Source organism: Homo sapiens, chromosome 15 (assembly GCF_000001405.40).
Source record: "Homo sapiens chromosome 15, GRCh38.p14 Primary Assembly".
NCBI lineage: Eukaryota > Metazoa > Chordata > Mammalia > Primates > Hominidae > Homo > Homo sapiens.
Window position 1 is genome coordinate 69,825,770 of NC_000015.10, and position 18,635 is coordinate 69,844,404.

The 18,635-nt window shown below is 51.2% G+C and overlaps 1 long non-coding RNA gene across 1 annotated transcript, besides 1 other annotated feature; it reads left to right on the forward strand.

Moving 5' to 3' along the window:
- The first annotated feature begins 9,464 nt into the window (after positions 1 to 9,464).
- Positions 9,465 to 17,198, forward strand: LINC00593 (long intergenic non-protein coding RNA 593). Its single transcript, NR_026764.2, has 5 exons — positions 9,465 to 9,512; positions 11,659 to 11,732; positions 14,977 to 15,059; positions 15,699 to 15,916; positions 16,292 to 17,198. It is a non-coding gene; the product is annotated as a long intergenic non-protein coding RNA 593 (long non-coding RNA).
- Positions 17,610 to 18,251: an enhancer, noted in NCBI's record as "H3K4me1 hESC enhancer chr15:70135718-70136359 (GRCh37/hg19 assembly coordinates)". NCBI's record gives its function as "activates a minimal SCP1, AML or CMV promoter by ChIP-STARR-seq in naive H9 embryonic stem cells {active_cell/tissue: H9 hESC(naive)}" and the evidence as "EXISTENCE:reporter gene assay evidence [ECO:0000049][PMID:30033119]".

Consider the following 18,635-nt stretch of genomic DNA (forward strand, 5'->3'; position numbering starts at 1 on the left):
TGAGAGAAGGCCGGAAGGAGTCTGGAATTCACACCAAAGAGGTTCTGCTAAGATTCTGAGCCCAGAAACTCCCTCCCAAGGAAGCCTCCAGAAAGCTTTTCATCCCCCTGCCCCACCACTTCCCCCTCCATCTGCCCATTTGATTTTGTTAATGGAATTCTTAGGAAAAATTACACACCGTTACATTTCCCTGCTAATCTCCCAGCAACAGCCATGGTACTGAACATTATTAAAATAGTTAAGACTCCATCCCAGCTGTCTCTTTCCAATTTTCTTGCTTCCAGGGGGTGCTCAGCAAAGCGGTGAGCAGGCTTACCTACTGAGTGCTTCTGCATCGCCGGCTAGCACAGTGATCGAAGCCAGAGCTCCTGAGACCACCAGGGCCACTTGGCGTGTGCACAAGCACATGCAATGTGGGGGCCAGGGAGAGTGGACAAAGGGCTAGGGATTGCAGAGAAATCCCATTCTCAAACGGGGTTCTGCCAGTCTGCTGGGAGGCCCTGGGCAATCCCTTTCCCTCTCCAGGCCTCAGTTATCTCCAACCACCTGCTGGTTCCCTTGCCAGCTCTGAGGCTCTCTCTGCATGTGTTCTTTGTGACTCTAAGAACACACTTGCCCCTGGCTGCGTCTGAAAATGGAGGCTCTGGGGTGCACGCGGCGTTACTATCTAATAAGCCGTGAGCTGCGCAGCAACATCAGTTGACTCACTTTGCAGAGCCTATGGGTCATTAAAAAAAAATCTAAACTAGTGCGAGTGAAGTAGCTTCCACAAAATGATTCCCATCACAAAATAAGCCTTTAATTAGCAGAACATCTCACCCAGCTGAAGCACAACTTTTGCAGACATATACCCAGTGATGTTAATTATGAAATGAATTTGCACATGCATGATTTATGGGTCTTTGACTTTAAAGAGAAAAAAAATCGGCTGCCTACTTTACTTATGCTTTCTGCCCTCTGAGAGAATTCACAAGAGAGAGATACCATGGACGGTTTCAGTGTTTCTTGGAAGCTTAACGTCCCTTTCAATGACTTTTGTGCTTTGCTTACATCAATCAGCTAAATATTTATTGAATTCTCAATTGCCCAGCACAGAGTCAGGGGCTGGGGAGAATGGGGATTCAGGATGAGTCATAGTTCTGGTGCTATGTTTAGATGAATTATGTCCCCTGGAGGGATCTTGCAGAACACAGGGTCTACCTTCCTAATTTTGCAGAGAAGGAAACTGAGGCCAGAAAGGAGACTAACTCCCTCAGAATAGTGCGATGACTCAGGGTTGGTGGCCCAACTCTGGCCTCATGTCCCAGCTGGGTGTTTCCATTACATTCCAACCAACAATAACAGCGGTATGCTAGGGCCTGGAGCGATAAGGAAGTTTTGTTTTGTTTTTGTTTTTGTTTTTGTTTCTGGAGATGGAGTCTTGCTCTGTCGCCCAGGCTGGAGGGCAACGGCGCGATCTTGGCTCACTGCAACCTCTGCCTCTTGGGTTCAAGCAATTCTCCTGCCTCAGCCTCCCAAGTAGCTGGGACTACAGGCATGGGCCACCACGCCCAGCTAATTTTTGTATTTTTAGTAGAGACGGGGTTTCGCCATGTTGGCCAGGCTGATCTCAAACTCCTGATCTCAGGTGATCTGCCCGCCTCGGCCTCCCAAAGTGCTGGAATTACAGGGGAGAGCCACCATGCCTAGCCCAATAAGGAAGTTTCGAGTCTGCAGTCCAGTGGGGCAGATGAAACACAAGCACATGAGTGCAAGTAGGCATGTGTGTTGGTGTGCAAAGATGCACACACACATGCATGCATGCATGCACGCTCACACACGTCAGACACCCTGGCAGAACTTAAGAAGGTGAATGTACTGCAGACTTGCACCTGTTGAGAATGCCAGAACTCCAGGCACTCTGAAGGGGGTCCTCGGAGCCATCCAGGAGCTCCTGGAGGAGGTGGCCCTTGGTCTGGCCCTAGGGAATTTAGACAGGCAGAGAAGAGGGGGAGCTCCTGCGGGAGGCCAGTGTGGGTCAGGAGCATCTTGGAGGCAGGAGGAAGGTGCCTCTGCAAAGCCTTGGTCCATTTGTGTTCCCAGCTTCTCCTTTTGTCCATGTACCTCATCTTGCTGTGGTCAGCTGTGAGGCATGTGGCTGCAGACCCAGTGAGTGACAGGGACAGCTCTTGGCCTTTTGAGCTTCAAAGGGCATAAACAGTACATTTGGAGGAGATGCCTGCTAGTTCCCTTTGATCTCCACCTGAGAGGCAATGGGGACTCTCTAGATGTAGGGCAGGGAGGGGAGGAGTTTTGGATGCAGAGTAGAAAATAATGAGAGAGAGAGAGAGAGAGAGAGATGCTGAGAAGCAACTGAGAGAGCTGCAGGTATTGGTTCTCAGAGCAAGGTGGAGCCTCACCCCGTCCCTCTAACCTGCTGTGCACCAAAGGAAGCTAGAAACGATAGACCCGACCCCATAGATAGGCTTGGGGGACGCGCCCTTCTCCTGCCCACAGCCGCATTCACAGCAGCACCGGGCTGTAGGAGCAGGGCAGTGGAGCTGGTTGGATGTTGCATCTAGACAGACAAGATCAGGGATTCTGTGGCATCCCCCCAGCCCCCGAGGGTCCCAGCACAGCAGACATTACCTGTACCTTCAAGACTCAGGCTGGTGGCCTGGCAGAGGCCCTGTAGTGTGGAGAGGGCACAGCAGCGGGTGGCTGGCCTTTAGCTATGTGTAGGTGGTAACCCCCACAGCCATTGCCTTCATCAGTGTTAGCTCAGCCCCTGGGAGGAAAGGGCCAGGAGAACCCTGACCTGACTGAGGAAACATTGCATTGATGGAGATGATAAGAATTGACCAGCTAATATTTCTGCCAAAGTAGATTCTAAATTGATTTCAGGTAATTGATTTAAGAGAAGCCAGGGAGAGAGATAAGCACTTAAGTCTGTGGCCTAAAAGCTCCATCCTCAGAGTTTGCTTGAAGAGCAGTAAGCTGCAGAGATGGCAGGGAGGGTGACTGCCGATGACCTTGTTGCTTGGGGAGTCTTGAGTGTCCCCAAAGCCCCCATAGCCTGACGAGGCCTTCTTTTAGGGTGGAAAGATGGAAAGATAAAGAGCCCTGGATACTCTAGGGAACAAAGCAACTGGCCTCTCACTTAGCTCTGCCTAAAGCTGGCTATGTGACTGTAGGCAAGTAGCTCAGCCTGTCTGTGCCTTAGTTTCCCCATTTTAAAACAAAGGGGGTAGGCTTGATAATCTCAGAGGCAGTGGTTTTCCAACTTCAGAGTGCCTGACAATGACGGGAGAATTGGGTTAAAATGTAGGTTTCCTGACACAACGGTCCTCAGAGATTTGTACATGAGGGCCTGGGGTGACTTGGAGAACCACTCTTCTTCCCCCAAAGAATGCCTTTCCACTGCTCTGGTTTCACAAAACCTCCTTCTCCTCCCTCCTCCCCACTTCCCACCTCCTTCCCCTCCTCCTCCTTCTCCTCCTCCTCCTTCTTTTTCTTCTCATGACTTATTTATCATACAGTTTTCTCCTGCTTACAAATACAAAAGGAGGCATAGTAAACATTTTCAAGCATAGCAGCATAGAAAGCAGAAAGCTCTTTATGCCTGTGACTCTCCCCCCAAGTCACAGTAGTTAACAGCCTGCTGTGCCCAAGCTCAAGTTTGAAATCGGCATACAAATAACTAAGAATAAATATATTTAAAACAAAAGTATAGCTATACCATACATACTATTTTGTAATATTTTCTCCCCAATGAACAGTATATCTTATCCTCATTTCAGACCCCTATATGGCGATGAACACGTTCTTTTTCACAACTGTATAATACTCCATTGAATTAATTCCCATAGGCCAACATTTAGGCATTGTCTCATTTTTCACAGCCACAAAACGCCACTGCAACAAACATCTTTGCACAGATGTCTCAAAGCACTTGCATAGGTGTGGGGTACATTCCTAGAAGTAGAATGGTGGATGCAAAGGCGTGTTTTACATTTAGCCTGTATGGCATTGCCAATTTGGCCTTCAAAATTGATTTTTCCAACTTATTCTCCCGCCCATATTTTGTGAGTAGCTGTTTTTCCATACACAGCCTCTGCCAACCTTGGGTATTTTCTATCTTTTAACTCTTTGCCAAACATATTGGCAAAAATATCTTTTTATTATTTCCTTTTCATTTTCCTTCATGATTGATGAGGCTGATCAGTTTGGGGCTATTCTTTGAAGTATCACATCATAACCTTTGTTCATTCTTTTTCTCTTAAGAAGGTGAACAAATCATGTAGTCAGGCATTTCCACAGTTTACAAGTGCAGCAGTGCAGGAGTATAAGACAAACATGAGTGCCACATCCCCAGACTCCCAAGCTGTCCAGCTCTCAGGTTAGAACAAACCTGCATTGAGTCCCTGGCTTTAAAGAGCACTTGCATTCCCAGAGCAGAGCTCCTCATGAGGGCCCATGTTTTCCGCCATGTAGAAAGCAGGACCACAGGCTATGTTTATCCAGGGGCTGCCCTCCTGCGGGGCACGCTGCTCCCAGGCTGTAGCTGCATCCAGAAAGAACTTTGTTAAAGGATGATGAGGCCCTGAGGCAGGGGCTGCAGGTGGGGCACAGAAGCAGACCTGGCCAGAGAGCTGGCCCCCACAGGCGGAACCCTGGGCTGTAGGTAGGTGGCTGGGGGTCAGGTCCCAACGTCACAGTTGATTCTCTCTGAGACGCTTGTTTAAGTAGCCATGGCCCTTGGTTTTCCTACTTGTAAAAATGAAAACAGTGATATCAATTTCAAGGGCCTCTTGTGAGACTCCAATGAGACTGTGTACAAATAAAACTGGAGCCTTCTATAACTGTAAGTTCTGAGTTCTGAGTGTTGATGCCAGAAATTCCACCATTAGATCATATCCCTAACGGCTTGTGTACAGCTAAATGCAGACTCCCTTCTGCAAGGGGCCACGCCACACTTTGTTAACTGTTCCATCTATAACACAGTCAGTGGTTAAGAGCATGGGCCTTGGAATTGCAGAGAGCTGTGTTCAAGTCTACTTACTGGCTCTGTGACTCTGGGCAGGTTACTTAACCCCTCTGAGATACAATGCTCTCCTTCATAAAGTGGACATAACCACTTCTTGGTTTACATGAGGAGTTAATGAGCTATGGGTTGAAAGTCTGGAGCAAGAGAAAGGTTCAATAAATGTCAGCTATGTTATTATCATCCTTAATAATGATAAATTATTAACAATGCTGATCTTAACCACAATGTCCAGATGTTTTCTTCCTCTCCCATTGTGAGCTTGTTGCGAGAGGGCTCCCAGAGGACCCATACCATCCCATTCATCTCTTATGTCATCAACCACACAGTCCTGCAAGCGTATATCCTGCTTCCTTGTGTTTGCTCCTGACACTGGGCTCCCTGTGAATAAGGAGGAGGTCCCCTTCATGGCATAATGCGAATAGTTCTGAAAAGGTTCTCTATTGCCTCTTCTTCTGCCGTCTGCAGTGGTAACAGAAATCCCAGCATTTCTGGAAAGCCTCAGGTTGGAGTTGAAACGCATATTTGATATTAGGAAACCGCTTCAGGATGCTCAGCTATGAAATATGTCCCATGGTGTCCACCCTCTGCCTTCTCCCTGGAAGACTCGGGCAGGGTATTGAAACTCTCTGTGTCTCAGCTTCCTCCTCTGTGAAATGGGGACATAGCAGTGTTTTCCTCAGAGGGGTGGAAATGAAAGAGAGCGGCCAGCATGGCCTGGCCCACAATGAGTGCCCGCTAAGTGCCAGCAGTGAGGAGTGCTGCCTCCCACGGGGTGTTCCCTACCTTCTCCGGTAGATGCTCCGTCTCTGCGAGTCCCTTTCTCTGATATCTTAGTCCATCTGGGCTGCTGTAACAAAAATACCATCAACTGGGTGGCTTATAAACAATAGAAATTCATTGCTTACAGTTCTGTAGGCTGAGAAGTCCAAGGTCATGGTGCCAGCCTACTTGGTGTCTGGTGAGGGCCTGCTTCCTAGTCTGGGATCTCTTTCATAAGGGCACTAACCCCATTCATGAGAACTCTGCCCTCACGACCTAATCAGGCCCAAAGGTCCCACCTCTTCATCTACTGCATTGGGAATTAGGTTTCAACATATGTATTTTGGTGGGACACAAACATTCAGACCACAGCATCTGACTTCTTATCCTCCCCCATCCTCGACCTCTTGAGTGGATCAGATGCCCTTACAGGTCACAGCCCACCCTGTGGTTCAGGGAGGGAGCAGAGGAGGGGAGGATGGGGTTGGGGGTGCTCATGTTAGACCCTCAGGAACCTCCCTGGAGGATCCATCTGGGGCAGCACTTTTGCAGTCAGCGTTGTGGGGGAGGCTGAGAAGCCAGAGGCAGGGCAGGTCCCCACCGGAGAATGGTGGCACTAGGGAGTAGGGTGAGGGATGAGCTGTTTCAGGAGAAAGGCAGGGGAAGGGGAATAGGAGGGGAGGGGAGGGGGCAGGAGAGGAGAGGGGAAGGGAGTGAGAGGGAAGGGAGAAGGGAAGGGGGAAGGAAAAGGAAAGGGGAAGGGGGAAAAAGAAGGGAAGAAGAAGCGGGGAAGGGAAGGGAAATGAAGGAAGGGAAGGGAAATGAAGGAAGGGAAGGGAAATGAAGGAAGGGAAGGGAAATGAAGGAAGGGAAGGGAAATGAAGGAAGGGAAGGGGAAGAGAAGGGGAGGGGAGGAGAAAGGAGGGGAGGGGAGGGAAAGGGAGGGGAGGGGAGGAGAAGGTGAGAGGAGGAGAGGGAAAGGGGAGGAGAGGGAAAGGGGAGGAGAGGGAAAGGGGAGGAGAGGGAAAGGGAAAGGGGAAGTGGAAGAGGAAGGGGAAAGGGAAGGGGAAGGGGAAGGGGTTTGGGAAATCCTGACCACACAGTCAGAATGGCTTCTCACCAGCTTCTCCCACCAAGGATGTGGCCCTTTAGGCTCATGACTTCCTGGACCTCAGTTTCTCAATCTGTAGCACAGGAATCCTGAAGTAAGGGGATAATGACTGCTCATAGTGGCATTAGGAGACCAAAACCAGAGGTGATGGGACCACATACAGCATTGCTGCTGAGGAGGGGAGGCTGCTGTGGGTGACCGGGCTGGGGTTTCCTCCACCCCAGCTCTGCTGGCTCCGTGTGGTTTCTAGTATGAGCCAGGCATATCCCAGCTCAGGGCCTTTGCACTGGCTGTTTCCTCTGCCTGGAAATCTTGTCTTCCAGATAGGTGCATTTTTTTACTTCCTCAGATCTTTGCTTGGATGTTTTTTCCTCAACAAGTGCTTCCCTGGGCACACTATTTAGTATATTGTGTGCACGTGTGCGCGCACACGTGCACACACACACACACACACACACACACTCCTTATTCCCCCCCACTTTGTTTTCCTGTGTAGCATTGATCACCACTGCATATACTAATTACTTGTTTGATAGTTTGTTGTCTGTCAGTCTGTCTCCCTCTATGACAATATTCTCCTTATCTCTTGCCAGGTAACATACTTCCTAGAAATTTAGCAGCTTAAAACAGCCAGCATTTTATTGTTTCTCACAGTGCTGTGAGTGAGGAATCCAGGCACATCCCAGCTAGTGGCTTTTCTGTTCCACATGCTGTTAGTGGAGGTTGCTCTGTGGCGTTGGGCCAGTGGCTGGGCTGGGACATTCAGGATGGCCTCACCGGTCTGTCTGATGCTTTGATGAGGACAGCAGGAAGGCTGGGGCTCAGCTGGACTACAGCACCTACACATGGCCTCTCCAGCACACCTGGAGTCAGACTTTTTCCATGGAGGCCCAGGGCTCCTAGAGCCAGTGTTTTCAGAGGTACAGGCAGAAGCTACAAGTGACCTAGCTTCAGAACATCACTTCTTCCTCATTCTATTGGTCACAAAAGTCACGAAGACCAGCCTGGATTCAAGGGGAACAGAGTAGACCCCACCTCTCAATGGGAGGAATGTCAAAGGATTTGTGGCTATCTTAAAGCTACCATCACACGCTTCACCAGGGCGGGGTCTTTGGAGTGTTTTATGCACTGCTAGTTTCCAAGCACCTAGCACAGAGTAGGTGCTCAATAAACATATATTGACTGAGTGAATGAATGAAAAAATGTAATTTTTACAGTCCATGCCAAGCCCACCTCTCCCTGGAAGTCCTCTACACCTACCCCAGGCCATGGGTCCTTTCCCAGCCTAGCCTCCACCCCTCACCTGCCCTGCCGTCCCTCTGGGCCTTGGGCTCTTTCCCCCTTTATAGATGACCCTACAAACAAAGCATTGAGTTCCCTGGGGGCAGGTGTGTGTTCTGCACCGTGCAGATAGGCTTCAACAGGAGTTCCTAACTGTATGCATGGCATAGGTGCATTTTATATGTATAATGGTTCACAAATCACAACCACCCATCAGGTAACCATCGCTATCCCATTTACAGAAGAGAAAACTGGGGCCCAGAGAAGTTGAATCATTTGCCTCAGGTCACCCAGCCAGCCCGAGTCTAGCTCAGTGTCTCCGCAGCAGCAGGTGCTCAGTGGCTCTGTGGACTGACTGTTCCATCCCTACGCTGTGCATATGAACATGAGGTGCCCAAGACTTCCCCTTGAGGTTCCAGAGCCCACTAAAGCAGGGCTTTGGGGCCTCACTTTACCTTTCTCTTCCCTGGAGACCACTGAAATGCACTGGCGAGAGAGATGGGTTTAATATTCATGAACCAGCCAGGCATGAGTGATTAGCTGACTCCTGTTGGAGGAAGAGGAATAATTGAATACGGTATTTACATAATAAGTTAATGCTGCCACCCGCCTGTGGGGCTCCTTTGTGGGTCTGTCCTCCACCTCCCTACTTGCCCACATTGTGTTTCTCCTCACCTGCCTTGGATGGCCTAGGAGGAAGTGCAGTGGCTTTGCACCCCTCTGCAATTTGGGCTGCCGTCTAAATGATAACATTATTTAGGGAACAGAACTCCAGTGCCTGGGAGAGCCTGTAATGGGCTGGTCGGTGGCCTGCCCGGGGGGCTGGACCCCTAAACAAAACCCTTCTGCAGACTCTGAGAAATGACAAGGGGAAGCTGAGAAGCTGAGACTGGGTTTTTGACATGGGCCTTCTTGCCCCAAACCTTCAGGAGACCTTGAGCACATTCCATCCCATTTTTTGGCTTCTCTCCTTTTCTGCAACACGCAGGGCCCCAGCCCGACCCTCTGTGGTCTAGGACTGCATTCCAGCTGCCTGGTTGAAGGCAGCAGGCAAGGGGAGAAGCAGGAGTGTGGGGCCATTCAAAAGAGAACTGCTCTTTTGTGGCTGCAAAGGGGAGGTAAGGCAGTTTCCATGCCTTCCTCAAGAGCTGCCTTTGGGGTTACCCCTGGTCAGTGCTCACTTGGGGTCCTGGAATCAAAGGTTCTTAGCTCATAATCACCTCATTCATGGCTGGCTGGGAGGTGTGCTGTGTGCATGTCTGACCCTGGGCGTGAGGAACACCAGCCAAGTCCTTCTGGCTGCGGTTAAAAGGGCTCACCAGCCTCTCCCTGAAGGTGAAGTGCAAAGATGGGCTGGGGATTTTTAAGGGGAGTGGGAAGTATTAATCGTTGGGGTGCTAGCTCCACTGTAAATACACTAAAGCCAGCATTTTTTTATGTCTCTGGAATGGTGGATGGTGTCCGGCAAGGGCCAGAATAGCCTGGTTCTTCTTGCCCAGATGTAGAAGTGCAGACCCTGGAGAGCTGTACGTTTTATCATTTGCATGACTTCTCCGCAGAATGGGCAGGATGACAGAGCTCCCCTCACAGGGCTTGTGTGAGGATTGAGTTGCTGTATGTTACGGCTCACAACAGAACTAACTCCCCGAGCAGAAACCTGGGATTTCTTCCGAAAAGACTGTGGGGCACTATATCAACACTTGAGTTCTAGCCTTTTTGATGACTAACCTCCTGAGAAAGCTTGGGTACCTCTCATGACTATGAGCTTTAGTTTTCTCACCTGTAAAATGGGGGCAATGAGCCCGATCTCTCAAGCTTGCTGGGAGGATTAAATGACAGTCACCCTGGTAGAAGATGCCCAGCCTTGGTGCCTGGCACACAGTAGGTGCTCAGTGAGAGCATGCACAGATGCAGTATTAGGTCTGTGATGGCCTGTCTGGGGGAGGCGGGCACAGATCCTGGAGAGGGAAGATGTAGGAGCTCAAGACAGCTGGCTTCAGGTGGCTAAAGAGCCCTGAGGGCCAGAGGCTGCACTTCTATGCATTTCAGAATGAGAGACCGGGGAGCATTGATAAGTGTTGCAACTAGAAGTATTTTAATCCAAAGTAAAGAGGAGCCCAAGCTGCCTGACGGTCAGGCAGCATCAGTGGGGTGGGTGCCCTATCACAGGATGTGTCCAAGCTTAGATTGGTTGGGAGGTCATGGAGGGGCTCCAAGTAATGGAGAGGAAGGAGGTTCCTGGGCTGGTTACTAAGGTTCCTTCTGTGATGTATGATCATGAGGTCAGCAGTGGTGACACTGTCTTGATTTTTTTGTCACTCTCAGTAGCCATGTGGCAGCCCGTGCTCCCTGCTGCTTGTCCCCATCCCCTCCCATGCACCTGCCTCACTGCCCGTGGCCAGCAGCATCCTTCCAACACTCTCTAGAACATGTCTCTTCTCTCTACTGGAGGCAGCCTCTGCCCACAGGGAGTGGGGGACCCAGACCCCTGCACTTGGCAAAGGGGGCCCTCCATGCACGGACTCTGACCATCTCTCCAGCTACTTGTCCTGCTGCTAGACAAAGAATCAATACTTAAGCCCACGTTTCTGGACACTGACACCCTTTCTGTTTCTGTTTCCACTGAATCATGACATATTCCAAAGCATTCCAGTGTGGTCCCCACTCTAGTGCCACTCAGAGGTGCTCTCATCCCTCACCCTTCATGGGACGTGTGTCTGAGTGGGGTTGGGGGACGTCCGCTTTCTTCATCTCTTGCTTTCCAAGGGCAGGACCTCTGGGGAATGCCCCTCATGCCCACAGTGCCCCCCAGTGTCAGGGACTCAGGAACAGCTAAGGTCCTACGAGGCAGGGTTCTTGGGAAAGCCTTAGTTCCCTCAGTGAAGGGTTCTCCTCACAGTAAAGGCAGGAGCTTGGGTGCTGGGGTCCCTAGCCTTGTCCTGTCCCCTCTCCTCACTCGGGCCCAGAACTCAGCAGTACCCAGGCTGGAGGCAGCAAGCCCAGGGAAGGCCATGGCCTTCAGGTGCCCCACTCTGCTGCCACAGGACACTCGGTCACATCAGGGGCTGTGCTAGACATGGTGCACCATCCCCTCCAACCCATACAGCCCTGCAGGGCGGCCTGTCAGCCTCATCTGACAGACAGAGAGATGGAGACTGAGGCTCAGAAAGGCCACGTGATTGTCCTCAGCCAGGGTCTTGAGGGCCAATGTCGAGGAACAGAGCTAGTTCAGGTGAGGTGAATGAAGCACTTGCCCCAGGGCACAACATTTAAGGGGGTGCAATCAAAACTTGGCAATCAAGATAAGTATTATTTCAATGCAGTATATGTAAAAATTGAAAGTAATGCAATAGACATTTTGCATTAAATTTTACCTTTTAAAATATTGCTTGGAGATATTATTCATCGTAATTAGTGAGTTTTTGGTTTTCCCGAGAATTGCCCCGATATCCAGTGAAATCGCTCATTTGCTTTCCCTTAGTCTTGGCCCGGGAGCCTGTGTCCTCCAGGTAGCTGTGCTGTGGGGAGCTGGAGAGGACTGAAGAGCTGAGGAGGGTACTTTGGCCTCTGGCTTTGTGGGATGTGGGGTGTGGGGGGAGGGAGGGAGGAGGAACCCAGGCTGGAGCTGTGCAGGGGGGACTGGCTCCAAATGTCTGAGAGACCCCTCTGACCTGGGATGCTGGAGGGGTCAGGGGAGCAAGCTGGCTTTTGAGAGGCTGGGCTGTGAGGCAGAGGCAAAAGGGACCTGTGGGAGCCTCTTTGTCCCCCAGTCCCTGGAGCTCAGCAGACAGGAAGGACGCCAGAGCCCAGCCTGAGATTGGGGAGCAGTGGGTGGCTGAGATTTCTGTAGGGCTTTTGGGGACCTCACCTCACGCCTGCTCTGCTCCCTGCTGGTGTGGGAGGACCCTAGACCCTGACAAGGTGCAGGTCAGGTTGGGGTGGACGGTGTGTGCAGGAAGCGCAGAGGCCCTCCTGTCAGCTCTGGGCCAGGGCTGCAGTAGGCCTTCCCAGCTCCTGCGTCATCTCAGGGCATTCTCCCACAACTTAGGAGGAAGGGGCTCTGTGTCATCCTTCTCGCCTTGCGCGGATGAGGAAACTGAGGCTTGGAGAAGAGCAGATGCCCAGACAGTAGGACAGGGCTGGGGCCCTGCCCATGGCTTTCCTCTCTCTCAGCCCCCTTCCTGTCACTCTCTCAGGCTGCCAGGGAATTACAACACCCTCTCTGCTCCTGCCTGTCCAACTCCAAACTGTCACTTCCACCTTTCCCTCTTCTCCAAACTTTCCCAAAGTGAATATCATTATTAATATTATTTGCCTAATTAACACGTTGGCTGAATGACAGAAAACATGCAAACAGGTTTTGCCAAGGAAACTCTGTCTGATTAAAACTGCAGCCTGTCTAATTAGATGGAGATTTCTTCATTAGTTTCCCCATTTTAGATGCACCTCCTCCCTCCCCCAGCTCCCTTCCCTGCACTTTCACCTCCCAGCTCCCACCCCTAACCCTGGAGGCCTTCTCCCCTCACAATTCTGCTGCCCCAACCCTCCCACTGCCTGCACCCCTCTTCCCTAGGAGGCAGCTGATGAAAGGGCTGACCTGCTTTGGTCTGAAGCTGGCCAGATGACAAGAGGACACTGCCCTGGGGGACAGGTGCTGGCCCACCTTGTAGGACTGAGAACCTCCTGGGATCAAGGTCACACCTGAAGTCTATTTAGAGTGGGAGTGTGCTGGCTGCTGAAAGTGTCTTCGTTAAAAATCCCCATTGACAAAACAAAGCAAAACAACATTTCCAAGTCCTCTCAATCAGATGCCATTGAAAGCAAAATGCACACTTAATAACAAAAGTAGAGTTAGGGAACATTGGTTGTGTACCTACTATGTGTCAGAACTTGCAAGCGTTTTCTTATCTCCATAGCAACCCTTCGAATGAAGTTATCACCATTTTGCAAATGAGAAAATTGAGGCTTAAAGGAAGTTGGCAAGGAGTAGAGCGTAGACTCAGATCTAGCCCATTCCAGCTCCCATACACTGGTTTCTCCCTCTCAGAGGCTCCTTTGTGGTGCCTAGAAGCCCCCACCCTTCTTCCTCCTTTTCCCTTCTCTTCCTTTCTCCTAGCCACAGTGCTCCAGGAAGCAGGAGGTGCTGCAAGCTGGGTGTGGCTGGGCAAGGCCAGGGCAGTCTAGCGAGGTCCCAAGTTAAAGTTCATTGGAGCTTCAGGAGTGGTTCCTTTAAGGGCCTCAGGAATGTGTTCTGGCATGAGAGGGGTGAGGGTGGAGGAGGAGGCACTAGGCACATTATGACACCTGAGGTCAAGCACAAATAGGGATAAGGGTGTTTGGTTTGGAAAGAGCAGGCCAGTGTTGGATTACTTGGAGGAGGTGAGATGGAGCCCATCATCTTTTGTGTCTATCCCATGCCAGGGAACTGTGCGAGGTACTTTATGTGCACACATGTCTACTCATTACAGCAAAGTGTTGTCATCTCCTCATTTTTTTTTCTTCTTTTTTTTCTGAGACGGAGTCTTGCTCTGTCATCCAGGATAGAGTGCAGTGGCACGACCTCGGCTCACTACAACCTCTGCCTCCTGGGTTCAAGCAATTATCCTGCCTCAGCCTCCTGACTAGCTGGGATTATAGGTGCAAGCCACCAAGCCCGGCTTTTTTTTTTTTCTTTTTGTATTTTTTAATAGAGATGGGGTTTCCCCATGTTGGCCAGGCTGGTCTCGAACTCCTGACCTCGTGATCTGCCCACGTCGGTCTTCCAAAGTGCTGGGATTACAGGTGTGAGCCACCATACCCAGCCCACTCCACCAGTATTTACACTGTGCCAGGCACAGGGTCCGTGGTGAGCAGGGCAGGAGCACTCACTCCTTGTGGAGCTGGCCGGCTCAGTTGCAGAGCTTGGCTTCAGCTCCCTGCCCCCATGGCTGGGCCTTTCAACACTCTCAGGGGTGTCCATCACCCAGTTGCCCCACATCCATCCCTCAGGACATTCTGCCCAGTCTCTTGAGACCTAGGACTGCTGTTACTGCCTGCCAGGACCTGCCAACTCCACCTCAATTCAATGATTCAAGAACCATTGAACTTGGGGAGGGTGGGGGGTGGGGAGGATGAAGAAAAGTGAGCTAAAGGGTACAAACATACATTAAGGTAGAAGGAATAAATACAATGTTTGATAGCAGAGTAGGATGACTCTACTTAATGTATGTACCTGGGTGATGGGCACTCTATACACCCTGACTTGATCGCTATGCATTATATACATGTAAAAACTTTCTCATGTAGCCCAGACATTTACACACACACACAAGAATCGTTGAACTTAGGGCAGAAGAGACGGTGTGGGTGGGATGAGCTTCTCCTTCCCTCTCTACTCTTCCCACACTCCATCAACCTGCAAATGATGGAGCAGAACAATTCGCCATCGAGGAAGCTCTGGCAGGCTGCTCCCTGGGCACATCTAGTAAGACAGCAGGTGGCCAGGTGGGGCTGGGCGAGGAATGTGGGCACAGCTGGTTCATTAATAGAGGAGACTGACTTGTCAATTCTATGGCCCAGGTCATTGTGAAGCATCTTGGGTTGGAGCTTTGTGTCTGAGGATGGTGGGGCAGAAGACCTCAGCCCTTGCCCTCAAGGAACTTCTAGTCTAAGTGGAAAAGCAAGCTTATTTCCTTTGACTTCCTCAACCCTCCTGTGAAAAGAGCCCTGGCCTTGGGTTTTAATCCCACCTCTGCCATTTGTTAGTTCTGTGACCTTGGGTGCATGCCTTAATCTTTCTGAACCTCTGTGTCTTCATCAGCGAAATGCAGAAATGATAATGCCTCACAAGCTGGTTGTACAGATTGAATAACAATGTGAACAGAGCACCGAGTATAATCCCTGGTAAGTAGAAAAACTCCATCCCAATATTCAAAGTTCACAGGCACAGTAGTGGCGTTCCGAGCACAGGGTTACATCTTCATCCCTGTGGGTGGGAGGACACTGACTTTGACCTGCCACGGCTAAAGGTCCTTCCCGGAACCCCCAGCTTCCTTCCAGCTCTAACATGTTCCATGTTCCGGTTCTCCCACTGATGGGCCTTTGCCTTTAGGTGCTCCAAATGTCCGAGTCCTCCTATGGGCCCGGCAATGTCTGGTGGCTTCCCAAAGCCTCACTGTGCTCTTCCGACAAATGGGCACAGGCCCAGAACTTCCAGAGGTAATTTGAGGCCCGTTGGCCATTTTTACCAGGGAGCCCAAGAAGCGAAGGGAGCATGATCAGAGATGGGGAGACAGGCCTCATTAGATAGCTCCAGTGCTGCGGGCTCTGTCGCCATGGCAGCCAGCGCTCGCGCAGGCCAGGTGGTTTTTATTACCGAACTTGGAAAACTTTACGGCGGCACCAACAATGAATCTTTATTCTGTTTTTAATAGCGTGTCTCTTATTAACATGTATCTTTTCCCCTTCTTAATAACCTTTACGTTTCCAAGCCACATTTATAATTAAGTCATTAATCCCTTACTGGAATTTCTTGTTTTTCAGAAACAGCAAACCAGAGGTCCCGTCTGGCTGGCATGAATGGAAGGGCAAACGCTCCGACCAAATTGCTCTGGGAATGTCATTCTAATTATTGGATCCTGACCCAGCAGCATGCTGATAAGCTCTGGGTTGGAGACGCCCTATCTCAGAGGAGCTCCAAACCTGCTCAAGGCCTTTTCTTGCCCTCTGCAACTTTCCTGCCAAGCAATTAGCCTCCAGGGGTATCTGAGAGCGGGAGACTGGGAGGAGCGGGGTCCCTCGGGGTTGAAGTGGGGAGGGCTAACGGGCTGGGGATGCCCCCTGTTGTGTTTCCAGGGAAAGCCTGTCCAGATTGCCGTTGCCTTCTTTACCTTCAGTGTCAGAGTTGGGGTCCAGCCTGTATTGTGGGGAGTAGGAAAAGCTTTTCTTGTTGAGCCCTGGGCTTCTGTTAGGGGTTGAATTATGTCCCTCCCCACACTCCACATTCATATGTTGAAGCCCTAACCCCTAGTTCCTCAGAATGTAACTGTATTTGGAGATACAGTCTTTAAAGAGGTCATTACATTAAAATGAGGTCACTGGGGTGGGTCCTTATCCAGTAAAACTGGTGTCCTTAGAAGAAGAGGAAATTGGAACACGGACACGCACAGAGGAAAGACCAAGTGAAGATACAGTGAGAAGATGGCCAACGACAAGCCGAGGAACAGGGTCTCAGAGGACCCCAACCCTGCTGACACCTTGATCTCGGGCTTTCAGCTTCCAGCACTGTGGCAAAATTCATTTCTACTGTTTAGGCCTCCCGGTCTGTGACATGTTGTCACGGTGGCCACTGAAGACTCAGACAGCTTCCTTCTAGCTCTGGTTCTTCTACCGGTGTGCTTTCAGGTGCTCCGGAGGGCCCGGTGGCAGGGAAAGCCAGGTCTCCAGGCTCCTGGCCCAGGGCGTGTTTAGGAGGCAGGGCCTTCTCTGACACAAGTATGAGGAGCAGAGAGGTTTCTCTTCTTCAGTCTCCACTAGGTCCTGGCCTCCATGGCTTCTATAGGCAGGGACCTGGCCAGGGCATTCACCAGAGACTTTGACAGGGAGTCCAGGCCCAGACCCCATAGGCAGAGCCAGGAGCCCTGTGCCAGCTTCCCAGGGAGCACCGGGGCCCAACGTAGAGTCAAGAGCTGGCATCAGCACAGGTGCAAGGTGGGGTTGGGAAGGGCATGGCAGCTTGGGGGTCTGCAGTGCACAGGTGGCCTGGCATGAGGTAGGTGGGCCGGCTTGAAGGTCTAGAAGATGGATAGACACCAGAGACTTGTAGTCTATGTCTCCTTCTTGCTGTCCCCTGGATGTCACCTCCCCTCTGCCCCCAGTGCTGAACTAACCCCCTTCATCTTTTACTTGGGACTCCATCAGTGACTCATCATTGCTTTTGGTGTGACTTACCAGCGGCCGCTCCGTCTGCCTCTTCCTTCCCCTCCAGGGTCATTTTGAACACTCTTCCTTCCTGACAACTAAACTTTTCACTGTTTCCCATCATAACATGTTATTTTATACTTCATTTAACTATCCACCCACCTATCCATTTATCCACCCACCTACCCACCTATCCATCCACGCACCCACTCATCCATCCATCCATCCATCCATCCATCCATCCATCCATCCATCCAGCAAATATTTGCCTAGTGTCTGCCTTGGGCACCCATGCTGGACCCTGGTGCCACAGTGCAGAGCCCACGCCCAGCCCCTCCCCCCATGAAGCTCACAGTCTAGCTAGGGAGCTAGACATCAGCCCATCAGATGACTTACATCTAAAATTATAAACTAAGACATGCAGTGAAGGGAAAAATCAGGGAGTGCTGAGCACAGAAAACCATGGGACCGATGGGGTTGGGGGTTGAGATGAGCTCCATGTGGAGGAGGGGACATTGTGTGGGCTGAGACCTGAACCGTGAGTCAAGTGAATCAGGAGGAGGGGAAGGAAGGGTGTTCTTGGCAGAAGGGACCACACGTGTGAAGTCCCTGAGGTGGCTGGGAGCTGGAAGAAAGCCGAGTGACTGCAGCACAGAGTGAGAGGGTGGCGGTGGTGTTGGGCTGGGAGGTCCTGGGGGGGTTGCATCTTCTTGTTTCTAGGGCAGTAACTGGTTCACGCTGGGAACTCAGCGGGAATTGAGGAAGGCATGAGGTTGTCGCTAGTCATTATTTGCAGGGGGATGGCAGTCTACTCAGGGACTCTTGCTGCACATGACAGCACACCCCCTCCCCGCCCCCGCCCCATTTACCATCTCTAAGGGGTTCTGCTAAGGTCATCTGTCTACTCTGGAGCCCAGAATCCCTTTGTTCCTCCCTCTTCCACTGTTAGTATTTCGACAGGTTTTCCTCTAGGCTTTTTGGTGCAGGTCACTCAGATGTCTGCAGGCCACCCTAGCCCAAGCAGTCACTTTGTTTCTCCGGCTCTGCCCTGCCCGTCAAATCTACACACACGCTTCCTGGAGTCCTGTGGGTATGTCTCGTGTGTGCTCACAAGCCAGGCAGTTTGATCCTGTGTAGCATCTGTCATGTTTTAGTGTTGCCCCTGGTGATGTCCATGTCTGAGACCTCAGATGTTGAGGCGGGGTGAAAATGCCTCACCGTCACCTCCGCTGAGAGCAGCAACACCTCCAGGTGCCAAAGGGATATGCAGCCAGCCAGCCACGAAGCTGCCATGCGGGGTTCTGCCAAGAAGGCTGAGAATGCGCCTGTTCTCCATTCTACATGACAGTTGGTAACCCGGACACCAGAACAACTGGCTGACCGCTGCTTGAAAACAGTGCCCAGTGTCCACCTGTAGCTCTCACTCCTTCAGGCTTGGTCTGTGAATTTGGGCTGGGATCCAAATGTTGGGGGCAGGTGATGCAGGCTCCCCAATACCCCACCCCTCTGGGGTGCACACACTCAGGGCACTTCTCCCCCAAACCTTCATGGAAACCAGCA